At 44.1% G+C, this 18,268-nt stretch overlaps 1 annotated feature.

The window, feature by feature from the left end:
- Nucleotides 7,794–7,903: a silencer, noted in NCBI's record as "silent region_16927". NCBI's record gives its function as "represses an Ori minimal core promoter by ATAC-STARR-seq in GM12878 lymphoblastoid cells {active_cell/tissue: GM12878}" and the evidence as "EXISTENCE:reporter gene assay evidence [ECO:0000049][PMID:35858748]".

Raw genomic sequence — 18,268 nt, forward strand, 5'->3', positions numbered from 1 at the left:
ATATATGTGAATTGGCTGTGTCAAGATCAATTAAAAATGCAAAGATGAGTCTCTAAATCATTTTATTTGGGAAAACAGAATTGCAGTTCAGGGCATACACACAGACTGGGGTGGTCTTCAGAACAACAAAGAGATGGTTGGAGGTTTCATTAGAGAAATGTTATGTATTACCTTGAAAGATAGCTCATTGACCCTAAGCAAAGTTTTTAGGAACAGGCAAGCTCTAATTTGTGAGAGAAGGTGGTAAGTAAAACTAGTCTTAGAGTTACAGCAATTCGTTTCAGCAGCTACTGGGTGAAACTGGTCTTCAGGTTATAGCAGGTCACCTTGGCAGCTGGCTTTCAATATAATTCCTGGGCAGGCACTTTGTGCCCCAACTGCTTTCTCTTCTCCCTCATCTCTGGACTCTAATTTAGCTGGGTATGAAGATTACTCCAATTCATACAATCAATTTTCAAGACTGCTGTTCACTGAATGGTGACAGCAATATGGGTGCCTTCAACTGCCCTCCATTCTGTTTTTTGATGAGCTGATAACAGAATATGTGGAAGCTTCCCTAAGAGATAACACTTTGAGACTTTTGTCAACTCTGCAGCCAGAATGAATCTAAAAATATCCCTCTGCAAAAAATCCTTCAGTGGCTCCCCATTTCTCTCAAAGGAAAAACTGAAGTGCTCACAACAGCTTACAACACTTCTCATGGTCTACCTCCTTGTACCTCAGTCTCAGCTACTATGAGTGACTCCCCTGCCTTGGGACCTTCTCATGTTCCCTCTGCCTGAAACACATTATCCTCTGCTAGCCACATGGCCCACTCACTTACCTCAGTCTCAATCAAATGTCCCCTCCCTGAGGCTACTTTCCCCACCCTACCTAAAATTGCAACACTTTACCTGAATCCCAATCCCCTGTATGCAGTTCTACCTTTTCCTTCTTTCACAGCAATGATCCCATTTTTTTTTTTTTTTTTTTTTTGAGACAGTTTTGCTCTTGTTGCCCAGGCTGGAGTGCAATGGTGCGACCTTGGCTCACTGTAACCTTCACCTCCCGGGTTCAAGCGATTCTCCTGCCTCAGCCTCTGTAGTAGCTGGGATTACAGGCCCCCGCCACTGCGCCCAGCTAATTTTTTGTATTTTTAATAGAGATGGGGTTTCACCATGTCGGCCAGGCTGGTCTCAAACTCCTGACCTCAAGTGATCCACCCGCCTCGGCCTCCCAAAGTGCTGGGATTACAGGCCTGAGCCACAGCGCCCGGCCAGCACCGATCACTTTTTAACACACTACATTACTGACTTATTTATTTTAGTTTTTATTGGATCTGTCCTCCCACCAGAACGTCAGTTTCACAAGGTTAGGGATCTTTGCTTCGGTAGCTGATGTATCCTGAGTCCATAGAACAGCGCCTGGCACACAGTAAGTGCTTAATATAGACTTCTAAACAAATGAAAAGGGCTATCACACAATGTGAACAGGTGGCCATTCGTTCTTACAGTTGCATATTTGAGTTGTGAACTGTCAGCATTATTAGTCACTGGACTCTTAGCATAACACAGATTATAGAATGGAGTTGTCAGGCAATAAAATTTTGTGGAATTTAATTGAAATAAGACTTGTAAAACTCACAGGTGTACTTCACTGTAACAGGCATCACTCCTTTCTTGTAATATTTCTGCCCTCTAGTGGTTAGCCTTTTTTGCTAAATTATTTTTTAAAAAATGCACCGTACTGCTAGTTACAGAATCAAATCTCAAGGTTGAAAGGGACTTAAAGGTCAGCGAGTCCCATGAAGTGTGGTGCGGAGAGCTAAGCTTCAGGGCATAAAAACAGCCGCATATCTTCAGAAGTGGCATCCTATCTTTCAGCTTCTAAATTTACTTTGGCAGAATAGTAATTGTCACATACCACTGGCCTCAATCCTTGCGCCTCGTTTTCTAGAGATAAGGAAATGGAGATGGAGTGAGGTTATGGCTGTAGGACAACTGTCTTCATGTTGAGAAGCCATTAAAGTGAATGTAGTAAAAATCCCATCACAGCATAATTGGTGAACATATACATTCAGATAGTTCATGGGTCAAACCACATCTCCAAAACATCTGAAGAGAGACAAACCTGGATGGTCCTGGACACTCATTTCTTCTTCATTGTGGTAATTTGGCAGAAAACTGGCTCAGCAGGTCTGTGTTAACTCAGTCAGATAGGCAGAACCACCTCATCACTGTAAATATTTACAATATTAAGGGCATGGAGATCAGTCTTTATTGGAATGTTGGTCACAGCGCATGTAAACCTCTATGCCTGGTCTAAGCTGAGGGATAATTCGATTCCAGGGATGGCATGCACTCTACTACTTTCTGCTTGTATGTTTTTCCTCTAGTAAACCCAAGCTTATACCTGTATCACTTAACACAGTGGTGTGTTTTCATGGCCCTTCCTGAGCATGCATAACTGTACCCCAGAAATATGCTGTTACAGAGAGGAGACATTGGTTCACCTGTCAAAACGGGTGGCATATGTCTTACGTACATGTGATTATAGACTTCCAATACTGTCCTGGTATATAGAAACCTCTGGCTACAGCCATAGGTTTCCTAGTGCGTATGGGGTCATTTAACAAATAATGATTCCGTTAACCACTGATACTTGTCTGACCTCGGCCCTGTCTTCTCTTTTGCATGAATCTTTGATAGTTCTAGTGTCAAAACAGTAGGTACAGTCAGCGGGGTAGAAAAGCAAACTCTATTTTCAGTGAAACTAGAAAATAATATGTCAAGTAGGTGGAGAAGTTTCCAAAAGCAGTGGAAACCAAGCAGGGCACGTGTAGGAAAAGGCAGAGAACGAGAGAGAGGTCCAAAGCTACAGATCTCAGAAATAGCCAGCAAAACACACACTTCTCAAAGGTGAGGGGTTTACCTTGAGAAGCAATATGTATTTCTGTTGTGTGCCATCTTGGGAATAGAACAACCAGGCTGGTGACAAGGGCATCTCACAACCAAGTTAGATTCTGTGATGCAAAAAACAGGTCACTCTTCTAAAGATAACAATGATCAAATCTGGACGAAATATAAAAAACAAGTACTTGCAGGTGTTTTAGTGTAACCGAGAGCAGGTGGATTCTTGTGGGGTGTTGAGCTTTGGAAGAATGGAACAGCACCAGGTAAGCTTCCCATTTTCAAAGCCACTGGTGGGCTCACCCCTTGGCCCTGGGGGTGTGGTGGTTGTTTGCAGGGGCTGTGCCTGAAGCATGGGCCTGCGGTCTGGGGTACCTGTACACATGCACAGGAACTCCCAATCATGGAGGTGGAGGCAAGAGGAGAAGGAGGGCGATGGAACTGGTAGAAAGTGAACAGTTTCCGTATTCCCTTCTCTTCTGTATTGTGGAACGGTATGTATAGATTGGTATTGTCTCTTCCTTGAATGTTTGGTAGAATACACCAATGAAACTATCTGGGTCTAGAGTTTTCTTTGTGAGAAGGTTTTAAACTTTACATGCAATTTCTTCAATAGATAGAGGCTATTCAGGAGATCTGTTTCTTCTTTATTAAGATTTGGTAGTTTAGGGCTGGGCGCGGTGGCTCACGCTTGTAATCCTAGCATTTTGGGAGGCCGAGGTTGTTGGATCACTTGAGATCAGGAGTTCGAGACCAGCCTGGCCAACATGGTGAAACCCCGTCTATACTAAAAATTTAAAAAGTTAGCCAGGCATGGTGGCAGTTGCCTGTAATCCCAGCTACTCAGGAGGCTGAGGTGGGAGAATTGCTTGAACCCGGGAGACGGAGGTTGCAGTGAGCTGAGATGGCACCATTGCCCTCCAGCCTGGGCGACGAGAGCAAAACTCCATCTCAAAAAAAAAAAAAAAAAAAAAAAGATTTGGTAGTTTAGGTCTCTGAAGAAATGTTTCTATTTCATTTAAGTTTTTAAAAGTATTACATTAAATTCAGGAACACAATACATTGTTATTAACTTTAGTCACCATTATGGACAATAGAACTCTTAAACTTATTCCTGCTGTCTAAAATTTTTTACCCTTTGACCAACATCTCTCTAACACCTACCCACCCCAGCCCCTAATAACCTCCATTCTGCTCACTGCTTCTATTAGTTCAATGTTTTGAGATTCCACATATAAATGAGATCATGCAATATTTCTCTTTCTGGGCCTGGCTTATTTCACTCAACATAATAAGTCCTCCAGGTTTATCCATGTTACTGCAAATGGCAGGATTTCCTTCTTTTTAAAGGCTGTACATATATGTACCACATTTTCTTTACCCATGAATATACCCATGATTGGGATATTTCTCACACTGTGAGCTTAGGAAAACTTCATTCCTAAACAGTGGTTGGGATTGTGCCTCCACCAACTGACAGTAGATGTTTATCCATTAATCTCTTGCTGTACACTTGAGTTGTTTCATGCATTGGCTATTGTAATTAATGCTGCAATGGAGATAGGAGTGCAGACAGCTCTTCAGCATACTGGTTTCCATTTCTGTGGATATATACCCAGTAGTGGATTGCTGGGTCATATGATAGTAGAAAAAATTTTAAGAAGAAATATGCCCAAGTAACAATGCATTTGATAAGCGCAACCCAGGTAAGACACAAGAAATGTCATAGAAGTTAAGGTACTCCCTGGAGTGTTTAGAGAAGGCACTATATAGGAAATAGCATTTGAGCTGTGCAGTGAATAATTTTTATAGAAAAGAGTGCCTTTTCAACACAAGAAAGAGCAATCACTAAAACGCAAAGGCAGGAAATGACAATGTGTATGTGGATGATGGGAGCCAGCCTGGCAGCTGTGTTGGGGTCATGAGAGATAAGGCTTGGAGCTGGCAGGGTGGGTTGCAGGAGGCCCAAGGAGCGTGGGCCAAGCATGGGCTGTGGAGAGATGACTCAGAGCAGAGAGAGCCTTTGAACAATGGATTTCCATGACCTGTAAAAGGGAGAGGCTTGGAGGCAGGAGTGCCTCTCTCGAGGTGCTAAAAGCTTTTGCAGAGGGTGGGAGGGGTTGGTTTGAGCCACTGAGAGGACTTGAAAAAAGAGAGGTCACAGCTACTGGGGGCCTTAAGTCTCTGGGAAACTGGGGTACAGAAAACCAAAATGAGAAAGTCAGAGAAGAGTAGCTTTGAGAATTGGCCATGCCGGGCGCGGTGGCTCATGCCTGTTATCCCAGCACTTTGGGAGGCCAAGGCGGGCGGATCACAAGGTCAGGAGATCGAGACCATCCCGGCTAAAATGGTGAAACCCTGTTTCTACTAAAAATACAAAAAATTAGCCGGGCGTGGTGGCGGGTGCCTGTAGTCCCAGCTACTTGGGAGTCTGAGGCAGGAGAATGGTGTGAACCTGGGAGGCGGAGCTTGCAGTGAGCAGAGATCGCGCCACTGCATTCCAGCCTGGGCGACAGAGCGAGACTCCGTCTCAAAAAAAAAAAAAAAAAAAGGAGAGAATTGGCCATGTTCAGAAGCCTGCTTGAGGTAACATAGAGCAACGTTTGATGTCCAGGCATAGTGGCTCATCCCAGCATGCTTTGGGAGGCCAAGGTGGGAGGATCACTTGAAGCCAGGAGTTTGAGATCAGCCTGAACAACAGAGACTCTGTCTCTACAAAAAATAAAAAATTTAGCTGGGTATGGTGGTTGGTTACATGGCTGTAGTCCCAGCTGCTTGGGAGGCTGAGGCAGGAGGATTGCTTGAGCCCAGGAGTTCCAGGTTACAGTGAGCTATGCTTGTGCCACTAACACTTCAGCCTGGGTGACAAAACAAGACTGTCTGTAAAATAATAATAGAATTTTTTTTAAAGGAAAATAAAAAATATTCCATGAAAATGTCCAGAAATAGTTATAGATTATAAAAATGCAGTGCTATTATGTTAAAGTCACTGTGAAAAATGAATTCTGGGATATTCAATGAAATCCTAAACAAAGTCCATACAGGTTGAGCACCCCTAATCTGAAAATTGGAAATCTGAAATGCTACAAAATCCAAAACTTTTTGAGCACTGACATGATGTCACCAGTGGAAAATATTACACCTGACCTCATGCAATGGGTTGCAGTCAAAACATAGCCAAAACTTTGTTTCATGCACAAAATTATTTAAAATATTATATAAAATTACCTTCAGGCTATGTGGACAAGGTGTATATGAAACATAAATGAATTTCATGTTTAGACTTGGGTCTCATCCCCAAGATAACTCACTGTGTATACACAAATAATCCAAAATCTTAAAAAATCCCAAATCCAAGACACACTTTGTCGCAAGCATTTTAGATACGGGATACTCAACCTATATTGCTAATTCCCCCCAGATGAGGTTAGATTTTGCTGGTCTTGTGGCAGAAACTCGGCTTGGTGTAATTCTCAATGGCAGCAGCAGAGGGCAGCAGCAGTAGACGGTTGGGATACTCCTCACACCGAGTTAAGGGAAACTTCATTCCTTTATGAGGTTTGGGATTCTGCCTCCACCCACTGACGGTAGATGTTTCCAGATGCTGGGGAAGAGACGACTGGCCCTGGCTTGCCAAGTAAACCGCAGTTTCATCTACACCTTCCAGATGGAAATACTGAGCAAAGCAACAGGGATCGCCTTATTCCACGAAGCAAAAAGAATAATAATAGGCCTAGCACGGTGGCTCACGCCTGTAATCCTAGCACTTTGGGAGGCCGAGGCGGGCGGATTGTCTGAGGTCAGGAGTTCGAGATCAACCTGGGCAACACGGTGAAACCCCGTCTCTACTAAAAATGCAAAAAATTCGCCGGGCATAGCGGCGTATGCCTGTAGTCCCAGCTGCTCAGGAGGCTGAGGCAGGAGAATTGCTTGAACCCAGGAGGCGGAGGTTGCAGTGAGCTGACATGGTGCCACTGCACTCCAGCCTGGGTGACAGAGCGAGACTTGTCTCCAGAAAAAAAAAAAAGAAGAAGAATTAAAGGCATTGAGTGCCTATTCTTCTAAGAGCTGCATGCATATTATGCCATTTAATTGTCTTAAGAATCTGGCATTATTATTACCATCCACATTTTATTGTAAATGAGTTTAAGTGGAAGCAACTTATAAATGGTTGCTATCTGGCTCCTGAGTCCATTGGTTTAATTAACCCTTCCACTGTATTACCTGTCTACAAAGTTTTGTTATTCGAGTGTGTATACGTGCACACATGCTCTCTGGTGCACAGAGAGTTTTTGTTAGCTTATTTAGATTTTGGGGAAAGGTGAAGAATTTATGCGTGTTTTCATCTCTTCTTTTTTTTTTTTTTTTTGAGACAGATCCTCGCTCTGTCGCCCAGGCTGGATTGCAATGGTGCAATCTTGGCTGACTGCAACCTCTGCCTCCCAGGTTCAAGTTATTCTCCTGTCTCAGCCTCCTGAGTAGCTGGGATTACAGCTGCCCGCCACCATGCCCAGCTAATTTTTGTATTTTTAGTAGAGACAGAGTTTCACCATGTTGGCCAGGCTTGTCTTGAACTCCTGACCTCAGGTGATCCACCCGCCTCAGCCTCCCAAAGTGCTGGGATTACAGTCACGAGCCACTGCACCCAGTCTTCATCTCTTCTTTTAAACCAAAACACTGTAAGGCGTGAACAACATACTTTGCTGGAGCAGTGCTCTTTCAAGTGCGGTCCCCTCTCTGGTGCTGTCCATGAGCTGTTGGTCAGGGGCCTGTGAGATAAGTACAGAAATCGAGAGCATTTAGATACTTTGATAGCAGTTTGACAGATTCATTTTATGTCTGTTGAATCTCATTATGAGCTTGTATTTTATATGTCTTTTTCATTTGGTTTTTCTAGTAACTTGTGGCTAGTTCCTTGCCCACAGGATTGCTCAAGAAGCACTGCAGTTGAGTTTATAACACACATGTAAAAGTCTAGAGGATTTTAGATAGTTCCTTTCACAGGGGAAACGAAACCCAGCACAATTATTAAGACATGGAGGGTTGCTCCTCTAAATCCTCCAACAGCTTCACTGATTGTCAAGATTAAAATACAATAAAGAGGGAGAAAGTGGCAGAGAGGGAGGAATGGGAGAAGAGGAACTTGAGGAGGGACAGTCTTGACAACTCTCGCGGGAGGACTTGGGCTACGTCACTGCGATGAGTACAGGAAAAGCACAAAATTAAAAAGAAGCAAATGGAATAAGGAATACTTTTTCTAAAAGAAAACCAAAACAAAACCCTGCTCTTAGATATGACTGCTGCACCTTTTGCATACACATTTGATACAGCAAATGATCCTGAAGTCCCTGTACTAGGCCAGGCTTCCACATTGATTTATTCCATTCACTCATACAAATCAATACTTGATTTTCAACAAGCTGCAAGTCAGAAGTCGCCATTGAGGGTGGGGTGAGGTGGCTCACACCTGTAATCCCAGCATTTGGGAAGCCAAGGCAGGCAGATTACTTGAGCTCAGGAGTTCAAGACCAGCCTGGGCAACATAGAGAAACCCAGTCTCTACAAAAAATACAAAAAATTGCCTGGGCATGGTGGCGCACACCTGTGGTCCCAGCTATTCAGGAGGCTGAGATGGGAGGATTGCTTGAGCCCAGGAGGCCAAGGCTGCAATAAGCTGTGGTTGTGCCATTGCACTCCAACTTGGGCAACAGAGTGACACCCTGTCTCAAAGAAACAAAAAAAAGTCACAATTTAGGAATAAGAAGAAAAAAAGTTCTTTTAGGAGAAGTAGCATGTCTTAGGGAAAAACAAAAATCAAAACAATAAAGGAACTTGTCACGGCAAATGAAAAATTTTAAAATGGGAGGGAGAGTTTGTTAGAGTGAAGGAGTCAGGGGAAGCAGCATTGTTTGTTCATGTGCAGGCGCGCGCTTTCTCTGAAGATATAAACTGAAAAATGACTGGCTCGGTTTTGACTCTGGAGTACTTCCTTAGTGCACAGAGATAAAGGAGATGTCCAACTATATAATATGATTTGCCAGGCAGTCTTACCCAGTTGCCCCAAATCTTTCTTCCCTGCCCCTCCTCTGTATTTAATACCATTTCCTTGGCTTAAGGCTCTCTCCACTATTAAAAAGCCAAAGGAAGGAGTAATACATTCAACCAAATGGATCATTTGGTATGAGTTTACCAGATCCTCTCCAGAGAGCTTGATTTGATAAGAAGGATAGAGGGGACTGGAGGGGGCTCTGGACATTCCTTCTTCAGCAAACATTTGAGTCCCTACATGCCAAGCACTGGGAACTCACGCCCCCACCCTCAAGGAGCTTGTGATCTACTGAAAGAGACGTGAGTGAATCCAGAAAACCATGCGGAGATCCAGCGCTTTTGTGTGCACAGTAGGTGGTTACATAAGGGTTAGAGAAGAATGCATTCAGACTGTGAGAGGTAGTAGAATATGAGAAAGAATTAACTCGCTAATGCATACATGGGGGATTTCAGAGCAATGGGAAGCCATTGCTCAGATAATGCCAGGAGGTGGTACAACTGGAATAAAAATAGGAACCTGAGACCCTGCACACCAGCCAGTCTTGGGGGTGTGGACACGAAGCCCGGGATGATGTCAGGCTGTTCTGATTTGGTTCCCATTGGAGCCTATTAAGACTGATTAAGGACTGTTCACTTTGGAAAATCACATTTTGACTTCTATCCCTTCACAATTCAGCTCAAAACCAATGCTTAATTCAAGTTCAAGTCAGACTTAGCTCCCTCCAAATTAGTCATTGTCATTTTCATGACATAAAACTGCATTTTGGCAACAGGGCACAGACACATTCCACCTCCTCAATGTGCTAGTTAAGCAAAATACTAACTTCTCAATGCCTCATTTGTCTTTTCTGTAGAATGGGCATATTGGCACTACTTGCCTCACAAGGTTATCATGAGGATTAAAATAAATAAACCCATAAAGCACCTATGATTACTTTGATTGCTAATCCACGGCCGATGGTTTGATGACCTGAGGGGCTGTTGGGGTGGGAAGGCCTCTTCTCTCACTGCGCATAAGAAGGGCTGGGATGAGAGGGTTGAAGGGAAGAAGTAGCATGTGAACACCTGAATGGGTCTGCAGAGAGAGCTTGGAGCCACTGACAGAGGGACGGAACAAAGGTGCTCCCAGATCAGAAGCAGGCACTTGAGAAGAGGCTTCAGTAGAAGCACAAGCTTTTAACAGGAAGAGAAAGCAAATTTCTTCAGGCGTATAGGAAGCTGGCAGGAGGTGTGGCCACGGAACACCGTCCTCTGTTGAGGATGCAGAGCTAGATCTTCAATATTCACCTAATGTTTCTCGAGCTCCCACTATGTTCCAGGGGCTTTTCTAAGTGCTTGGGTATGTCCAAATGCATACATAAAACATCCCTACCCTATGGAGGATAGGGATATATAGTCTAGTGGGGCAAACAGGCAACAGACAATGGATATAATAAATAAGGACATTTATTTTTCAGAAAGAAAAGAGTTGACAAGGGAAATGCTGATTGGGTATTTGGGGGTGAGGTTGCATGTCTATTTATTTCAGGAATGACAAGGGGACCAGTATTGAACTGGAGCCACAAAAGGACAGAGTAGACGTGTGGTGGCAGAAGGGTTACAGGGTGGGAGAGAGAAGTTAGATCACTTTGGTCACTGTGAGCACTTTGGCCTTTTCTTTAAGTGAAATGTGGAGTTTTAAGCAGAGAATTGATATAATATGACTCATATTTTCAAAGAACTGCATTTGTTACTATGTTGAAAATAGATGTCAGGGCACATGGGAAGAAACAGAGACAGAGAGGTATTCCTGCAATTCAAGCAAGGGATCATGACGATGACCAGGACCAGGGGGACAGCAGTGGGTGGAGTGACAAGTAGTGGGATTATAGATATATGTTTAAGGTAGAGCCAATAGGCGTTCCCCACAATTTACAGGTGGGGTGTGAGAGAAGATGGGAGTCAACTGTGACCTCTTTTATCGAACCTAAGCAGCCAGAAGAACGGGGAAAGGTGTACATAGAGCAGGCATGGACTTGGTGCTTCTGAGATTATAAGACATCCAGTAGAAATGTCAAGTAGATGGCTGGTCCCAACTCTGGAGTACACCAGTTATCAATTAACTGCCTCTCACCTCCAGATCCACCTTTCATTATCTGGTCTGTGGAAATGGAGCTGGGCCATGTAAATATCTTGACTTTGCCCTCTGGAATGATGTGAAAGTTTCTCAGCAGAGTGCACTGGAGGGATGCTGCAGGAGGAAAGGCTTCTCTTCCCAATCCTGGTGAATGCTTCGTGGCAGGCCCCTACAGTGTGCATAGTGTGTGCAGCACCCAAGTCCTACAGTGAGCTGCAGCCACTACCTGGCAGCTGGCAGCATAAGACACCTCTTATGGTTGGCTTCCCTCCATACCTTTGCAGCAAGTTCCGAAGCACAGCACCAATCAGCAGACTTTGCAGCAAGTTCCAAGGTGTAGCACCAACCAACAGGCAGCTCCCCCAGCACCAGAGAGGGCCGATTCTCAGTAACATCAGTGTAGCAGCTCAGCAAACCTTTCCACCTTCCCATGAGCCACAGCTGCACCCTTTCCAATAAGGTCTGGATTTCAGCCCTAGAGTATGAGTGGAGGTCCTCCTCTTCCAGATTTGTTCTCTTCTTGAACACTCTATCTCAGCCTTATAGATGGCAGAAGCTCCCTTTATCTATTTATGTATCCTTTGGCATTTTCTTTACCGATTGCTAGCCCATCATCCATTACTCCAGTCCCCCATTATAATTATATTAAACTGTTCCTGTGCAAACTACTCTGTGGCTTTTGCCTCCTGAGTGGACCCTGGCTGATATCTGGGGTTCAGCAGAGAGCTTCAGACAGAATGTATATCCTTGGGAGCTGTCAGCAAATAAAGGCGTGTGGAGCCATGAGATTACTAATGGAGTGGACAGATGGAGGAGGAGAAAAAATAGACGCCAACATTAAAAGATCAGGGAGAAAATGAGGAATTTGCATAAATGACAGGGAAGGGGCCACCGTAAGGTAGGAGGAAAATCAAGAGATTTTTCTGGCAACCAAGTTTAAAAAGTGTATCAGGGAGGGAGTGATCCACCATGTCAAAGTTTGCTGATATATCAAGTAAAAGTTCTGAGAGATGACAATGGGACGTCATTGTGACCTTGACAAGATCAGTGAGGAAGAAGACCGATGGAGATGTTTTTAAGAGAGAATGGAAAGGGAAGAATTGAGACAGAGACCTTCAGAAATTCTTTTGAGAAGTTTTGTTGCAAAGAAAAGCAAATAAATGGGTAGTAGCTGGGTATGGGGGGCATTAGGAGGTAGTGCCAAGAGGAAGAAGCAGCACGTTTCTGAGATTATGAAAATGGTCTGGTAGCGAAGGAATAATTGCTGATTTGGCAAGAAGGGGGAGAAATGCTGGAGCCTCATTTTTGAATAGAGGATGGTTGGCCTAGAGTCAGGAGTGCAAGTGAAGGGATGATACACAGGGCCTTCGAGGTCTCCCCAAGGGCCAGATTGAAACAACCAAAGAAAAAGTTGGGCTTATCCATAGGTGGAGACAGCCTAGACAAAGGGAAGTGTGACTTGGGAATGGAGCAGAATTGCCAGGAAGCCATGCCCTCCAAGCCAACTACAGCTACTGACCAGGCAGCTTAGCCAAGGAGAGCATGCCCTGTGAGTGCCCGTCTTCATGCTTTGGTGAACAGGGAGAGAATGAGACCTAGAGAATGAAGACTTGGAGAATGAGTACGGACTCCAGAACAGATCACTGGGATTGAATTGCAACTCTGCTCTCACAAGCTCTATGACAAAGGATAAAAACAATACAAAACAAAACAAAAACTTAATTTCTTTCTATTTCACTTATAAAGAATGATCTTGATAATTATTATACATGCACCACAGGCCGTTGTGAGGATTAAATGAGTTAAGTATCTAAAACATGTACAACAGTAGCTGACACTATATAAATAATGAGCACTAGATCATACCAGTTAGTATTTTTAATGTTGCTTTTCCCTTAGTTTTAGTTTCCTTTTTCTTTGTTTTTTGTTTGTTTGTTTTTTGTTTTTTTTTTTGAGATGGAGTCTTGCTCTTGTCGCTCAGGCTGGAGTGCAGTGGTGCGATCTTGGCTCACTGCAACCTCTGCTTCCCGGGTTCAAGCGATTCTCCTGCCTCAGCCTCCTGACTAGCTGGGATTACAGGTTTGCACCAAGATACTCGGCTAATTTTTGTATTTTTAGGAGAGATGGGGTTTCATCATGTTGGCCAGGCTGATCTCGAACTCCTGACCTCAAGTGATCCACCCGCCTTGGCCTCCGAAAGTGCTGGGATTACAGGCGTGAGCCACTGCACCCGGCCTAGTTTCCTTTTTCAAAAATGTCTTATTTGAATTAAAAAAAAAATTTTTGTAAGAGGGATATATCCATTTCTATTCTAGGATTGCTGAAGTTGGGTCTTTAGGGAGTGATCTAAATGGAAAGTCAAGTATGGTAGCAACTGAGAACGTGGAAGTTTAGGTCAAAGTGGCCCAGAGTGGGGAAACCTCTCATGGGTATAATAGGGTGACATGGTTTGGATCTGTGTCCCCACCCAAATCTCATATCGAATTGTAACCCGCAGTGTTGGAGGTGGGGGCCTGGTGGGAGGTGACTAGATCATGGGGGCAGTTTCTCATGAATGGGTTACACCATCCCCTCGATGCTGTTCTCATGATAGTGAGTGAGTGAATTATCGTGAGATCTGGCTGTTTAAAAGTGTGTAGCACTTCCCCACTCCCTCTCTTCCTCCTACCCCAGGCTTCTGAGGTGCCTCGCTCCCCCTTTGCCTTCCTCATGGTTGAAGGCTTCCTGAGGCCTCCCCAGAAGCAGATGCCTGTATGCCTCCTGTACAGCCTGCAGAACCGTGAGCCAAGTCAGCCTCTTTTCTCAGCCTCCCCTGCAGGTCGTCGTGACCACGAGACTAAGTCTTGGTCAAAGGATGGGAAAGGGATGTTTTATGTGAAACTTTGGGGTCATACTCTTCAAGGGAAGGGACACTCCCTTCTTTTTCCTGATGGCTAGAATACAATCACAGGGGTGAGCCATTCAGAACCATCCAGACAAAGATGACTCCATAGGAAAAATGGGACAACCAGATAGGTAAGTCCAACCCCCGGCAGCTCGTCAGAACAGCCGCCATTCTAGCTTCTCCTGCTGCATGAAGGAGAAGGAGACCTGTATCTTGATTACGTTTCTATTACTTTGAGACTCTGTTTTATGCAACCAAACTTATATCCAAAAAAAATTGATTTCCATAAAAATATCCCTGCAGGACCACTTATTTGAATGCCATGAAACCCCTAGAACAGAGATGTGAGCAGATGTAAACGTGCCAATCTTACGTTCATAGGAAAGTGCAGCTGCAGAGGGCAGAGAGCCCAGCTCTTTGCCAATTAAGAAAAACAGACTTCATGAGAGGCCCTGCTGCCCCAATCCTGGGCACCTTTGGCCTTCTGGTCCTGTTACGTTCATTCTTGATCTTATCCTCCTCTCCCTTCTTCATTGAGAAACGTATACTTTCTTCGTTGTTCTACTCAAGCCTAAACCATCTTGCCACCATCCCACCTTCAGAATGCCTGCAACACAATCTAGTTCCTCAGTTCTTTGTTTGTTTGTTTGTTTGAGACGGAGTCTCACTCTGTTGACAGCCTGGAGTGCAGTGATACAATCTCAGCTCACCGCAACCTCCGCCTCTTGGGTTCAAGTGATTCTCCTGTCTCAGCCTCCCTAGTAGCTGGGACTACAGGTGTGTGTCACCACGCCCAGCTAATTTTTTGTATTTTTAGTAGAGACAGGGTTTCACCATGTTGGCCAGGATGGTCTCGATCGCTTGACCTCGTGATCCGCCCACCTCAGCCTCCCAAAGTGCTGGGATTACAGGCATGAGCCACCGCACCCAGCCATTCCTCAGTTCTTATACTTGACTCAATTATCCTGAGTTTAAATCAGAGGAAACTCAACTCTGGTCTCCTGAAAAACTTTCAACTCATTTCTTCCTCTGCATCTTCTCACTATTCTGGATTTGGATTCCTCTGGTGCATAGTTCCCAGAAGGGCCCCAAAATTATTTCCTAAACCAACAGACATTTTTTTTCCTAATACACGTTCGCCCTATCTTCCTCTCCCCACAAACATGTATTAGGCTCTTATTTATTCTCTTCCAGGGATCATACCATGTTCTAACCTATGCAGACACCCACCCCTGCAAGTGCAAAGCATGAATGATCATGGGAAAAACTCTTTCTTCATAGGATGGAATCAGAATTTCAACACAATATCAAGAATTAAAGTCTAATTTCAAACAGGTAGTTGGCAGGTATCCATCAAGGAAAACTAATTTAGGACTTAGAACATTTCTGGAAATCTACATGCTAGTACCCTAGCATGTACTCTTCATCCTCATTCATTTATTTCCTTTCATTAGCAGTGTTACAGACCTCAAGTAAGTTCAATAGGAAGCCAAACTGACCTGATTAATTATTTTAAACAAACAATACAAAACTACAGTTTGCATGTTGGAGATCCCAAAGAGGCTTCTTTTCTTTGGATCACTGGAGTAATTTTTCCTTGGCTGTGGTCTCTCAGGTACTACATGAAGCTCCATGTTTTTTGGCCCTTTGCCTCATCACCAGGACAATGGGAAACTCTCGAAATTGATTAGATGAGTGATGTTATAAGAAAAAGGTAAGATTGTGTCAGAATTAACTGGCATTTCACGGTGGAATCTGGCTTCCTGTTGAGATATGGGTTTAGACACCACCTCTATCATTTGCCATCTGTGCTACTCTTAGTAAGTTAGTTAACCTTTCTGAGCTTTGAATTTGAAAAAAAACAAAAAAACAAAAGGTGGGGCTGGTGGGGGCTGGTGCGTTAAACAATAGCTGCTATGGTCGTGAGGATTACATGAGGGCCTGGTCACACTTCCCTAGCCGAATAGGGCCCTATCTCAGGCCGTCTCTGCATAAACCATGCTCTTGCCCACATTTCCCCGCTCTGTAAACCGGCTCTCAAGTGAATGCCATATTGAAAAGGATCTGATAAATAAAGTATCACTCAGGCAACATCAATAAGCTGCTTTCTCCTGAGATATTTGTGCTTCAGCATGGATATGTCATTAATCAGTAGGGTGGAGTTTCAGGTATGAATGACAGAATGGAAGAGAGGAATACTGTGCTTGGGAAGTGCCAGAACCATCGAATCATACCAGCTGGACCAGTTTATTTCACTGTGATGCAGGTTCTACTCATTGTAGAATTGTACACTGAGGTTGACACCTAAGTAACTTTGAAAAGGGTGCCTTAGGATGCACATATTATAAAACCAAAAGGATGGAGAAGTTGTCTTGAAGGTACTGTGTCTGCTCACGGTGTAACAACGGTTACAATTTAAAATTCCCCCTCAATTAGAAAAAAAAGTGAAACAAAGACCCAACCAAAAAATTAAACAGTATACAAAAATCCCTTTAGTCATAATGGCCGTAGAAACTCTAAGAATTAGTGTGTGGCATCTGCACATCTAAACATTTCTCTATAGTCTTGGGAAACTTCCACATGGCATGAGGGGACAACAGACCTGGGATCCGGAATATGCATACATCTTGCCAGTAGCAAGGGAAGGATCTGGAAAAGAGAATAAAAGGCTCTCAGCTTGATCAGAACACACCTAATCCCCTGTGGATAAAAAGCATGACTGTCATTCTTGGCCAACTGCACTTGAGTCTCCCAAATTCAGGCTGGGAAAAGGACTAGAACTTGTACAGCCCAGTGCCTGTTGAAGCCCTTTCCTACACCTCTCCTCCAGAGAAGGGATGGGTGTTCCCTGATTACAGAAATGGAGTCCAGAGTGGGCAGAAGAATTGAAGTTGGGACACCAGCATGTGGAACCCATCCCTGCCTCTCCGTGGCAACCTGGACCATGGGAAGGCTTGGCCGTGTCCTCTAGCCAAATTCCTGGGGTCCTTATATAGTTTTTTTCTCTCTGTGAAGAGATTCCTAGAAATTACAGGTTTACTTGACTTTTAACATAGTATTGAGGACACACTATCAGCTTCAAACAACTTACCATCTTCTCTTAGCCTTCTAATCCCATTACTTCCTCCGGTGGGGCTATAGGAGGGAGGGGAATATAAAACTATTTTGTTTTCAGGGAAGAAAGTGAATATGCAAAAAAAAAATTTTTTTTTTTTTTTTTTTATTTAAGCAACTGATTCAGGAAACACTTGACCTATTCACCTTCTCCTTCCTGGAACACTTGACTTGTTTTTCATAGGAGTCTTCGTGTTAGTAGGGTTGGATGGATGAGCTCCGTGAAGATAGTCACAGGCTGATTATTGTAGTCTTTGCAGGGCCAAAAAGAAAAGCAAAGAGGAGCTGGGCGCAGTGGCTCACGCCTGTAATTGCAGCACTTTGGGAGGCTGAGGTGGGCGGATCACTTGAGGTCAGGAGTTCGAGACCAGCCTGGCCAACATGGCGAAACACGATCTCTACTAAAAATACAAAATTAGCCTGGCGTGGTGGTGGGCACCTGTAATCCCAGCTACTCGGGAGGCTGAGGCAGGAGGATCACTTGAACCTGGGAGGTGGAGGTTGCAGTGAGCCAAGATCACACCACTGCACTTCTGCCTGTTTGACAGAGTGAGACTCCGCCTCAAAAAAAATAAAAGGAAAGTGAAGAGGAGTCAGGAGGAAGGGTGGGTAGCTAAGTGGCAGTGAGAAGGACGAGGATGTCTGTGAACATGGAGGGTGGCAGTCGGGGGCACACTGAGCGTGGAAGTCTCTCTCCTGAGCAGCTGCAGAGTGCCCATTGGAACATTCTAGGGCACGGAGCAGGAGTACAAACATACCACTGTCATGGCTTCCTTCTTGGCATCTGGGTGCTGAGTGCCAGTCTCTTTTAGGCTTGGCCCATATTTGTGAATACTGGAAAAAACACAAAATGGACTGGCTCACAATATCTTCTGCTCATCCTGAAGGATGAAAACTCAATATTAGCAATTCTATGCTGAAGACAAGTTCAGACCCTTCAGAAGCTCTTAGAACCAAAGATTTATTTTTTTCCTGGAAAAGACCTTAAGAGACTATCCAATAAATGTTAATATAATTCCTATTTTGTAAAGGAAGCCACTGAGGCCTAGAAAGATTAGATGATTTAATTTTCCCAAAGGTTTGCAGCCAGTGAGGGGTCGGGTTAGAAATCCAAGTCTCTCCCTGAACCTGGCAATGCTGTGTCCTACATTTTGTTACCTCTCTGGCTGACGAGTGATCATGATGAATTGCAAAAAATAAATTACTTCTGTGCTGGGA

The sequence above is a fragment of the Homo sapiens genome, chromosome 6 (assembly GCF_000001405.40).
Source record: "Homo sapiens chromosome 6, GRCh38.p14 Primary Assembly".
Classification (NCBI taxonomy): Eukaryota; Metazoa; Chordata; class Mammalia; order Primates; family Hominidae; genus Homo; species Homo sapiens.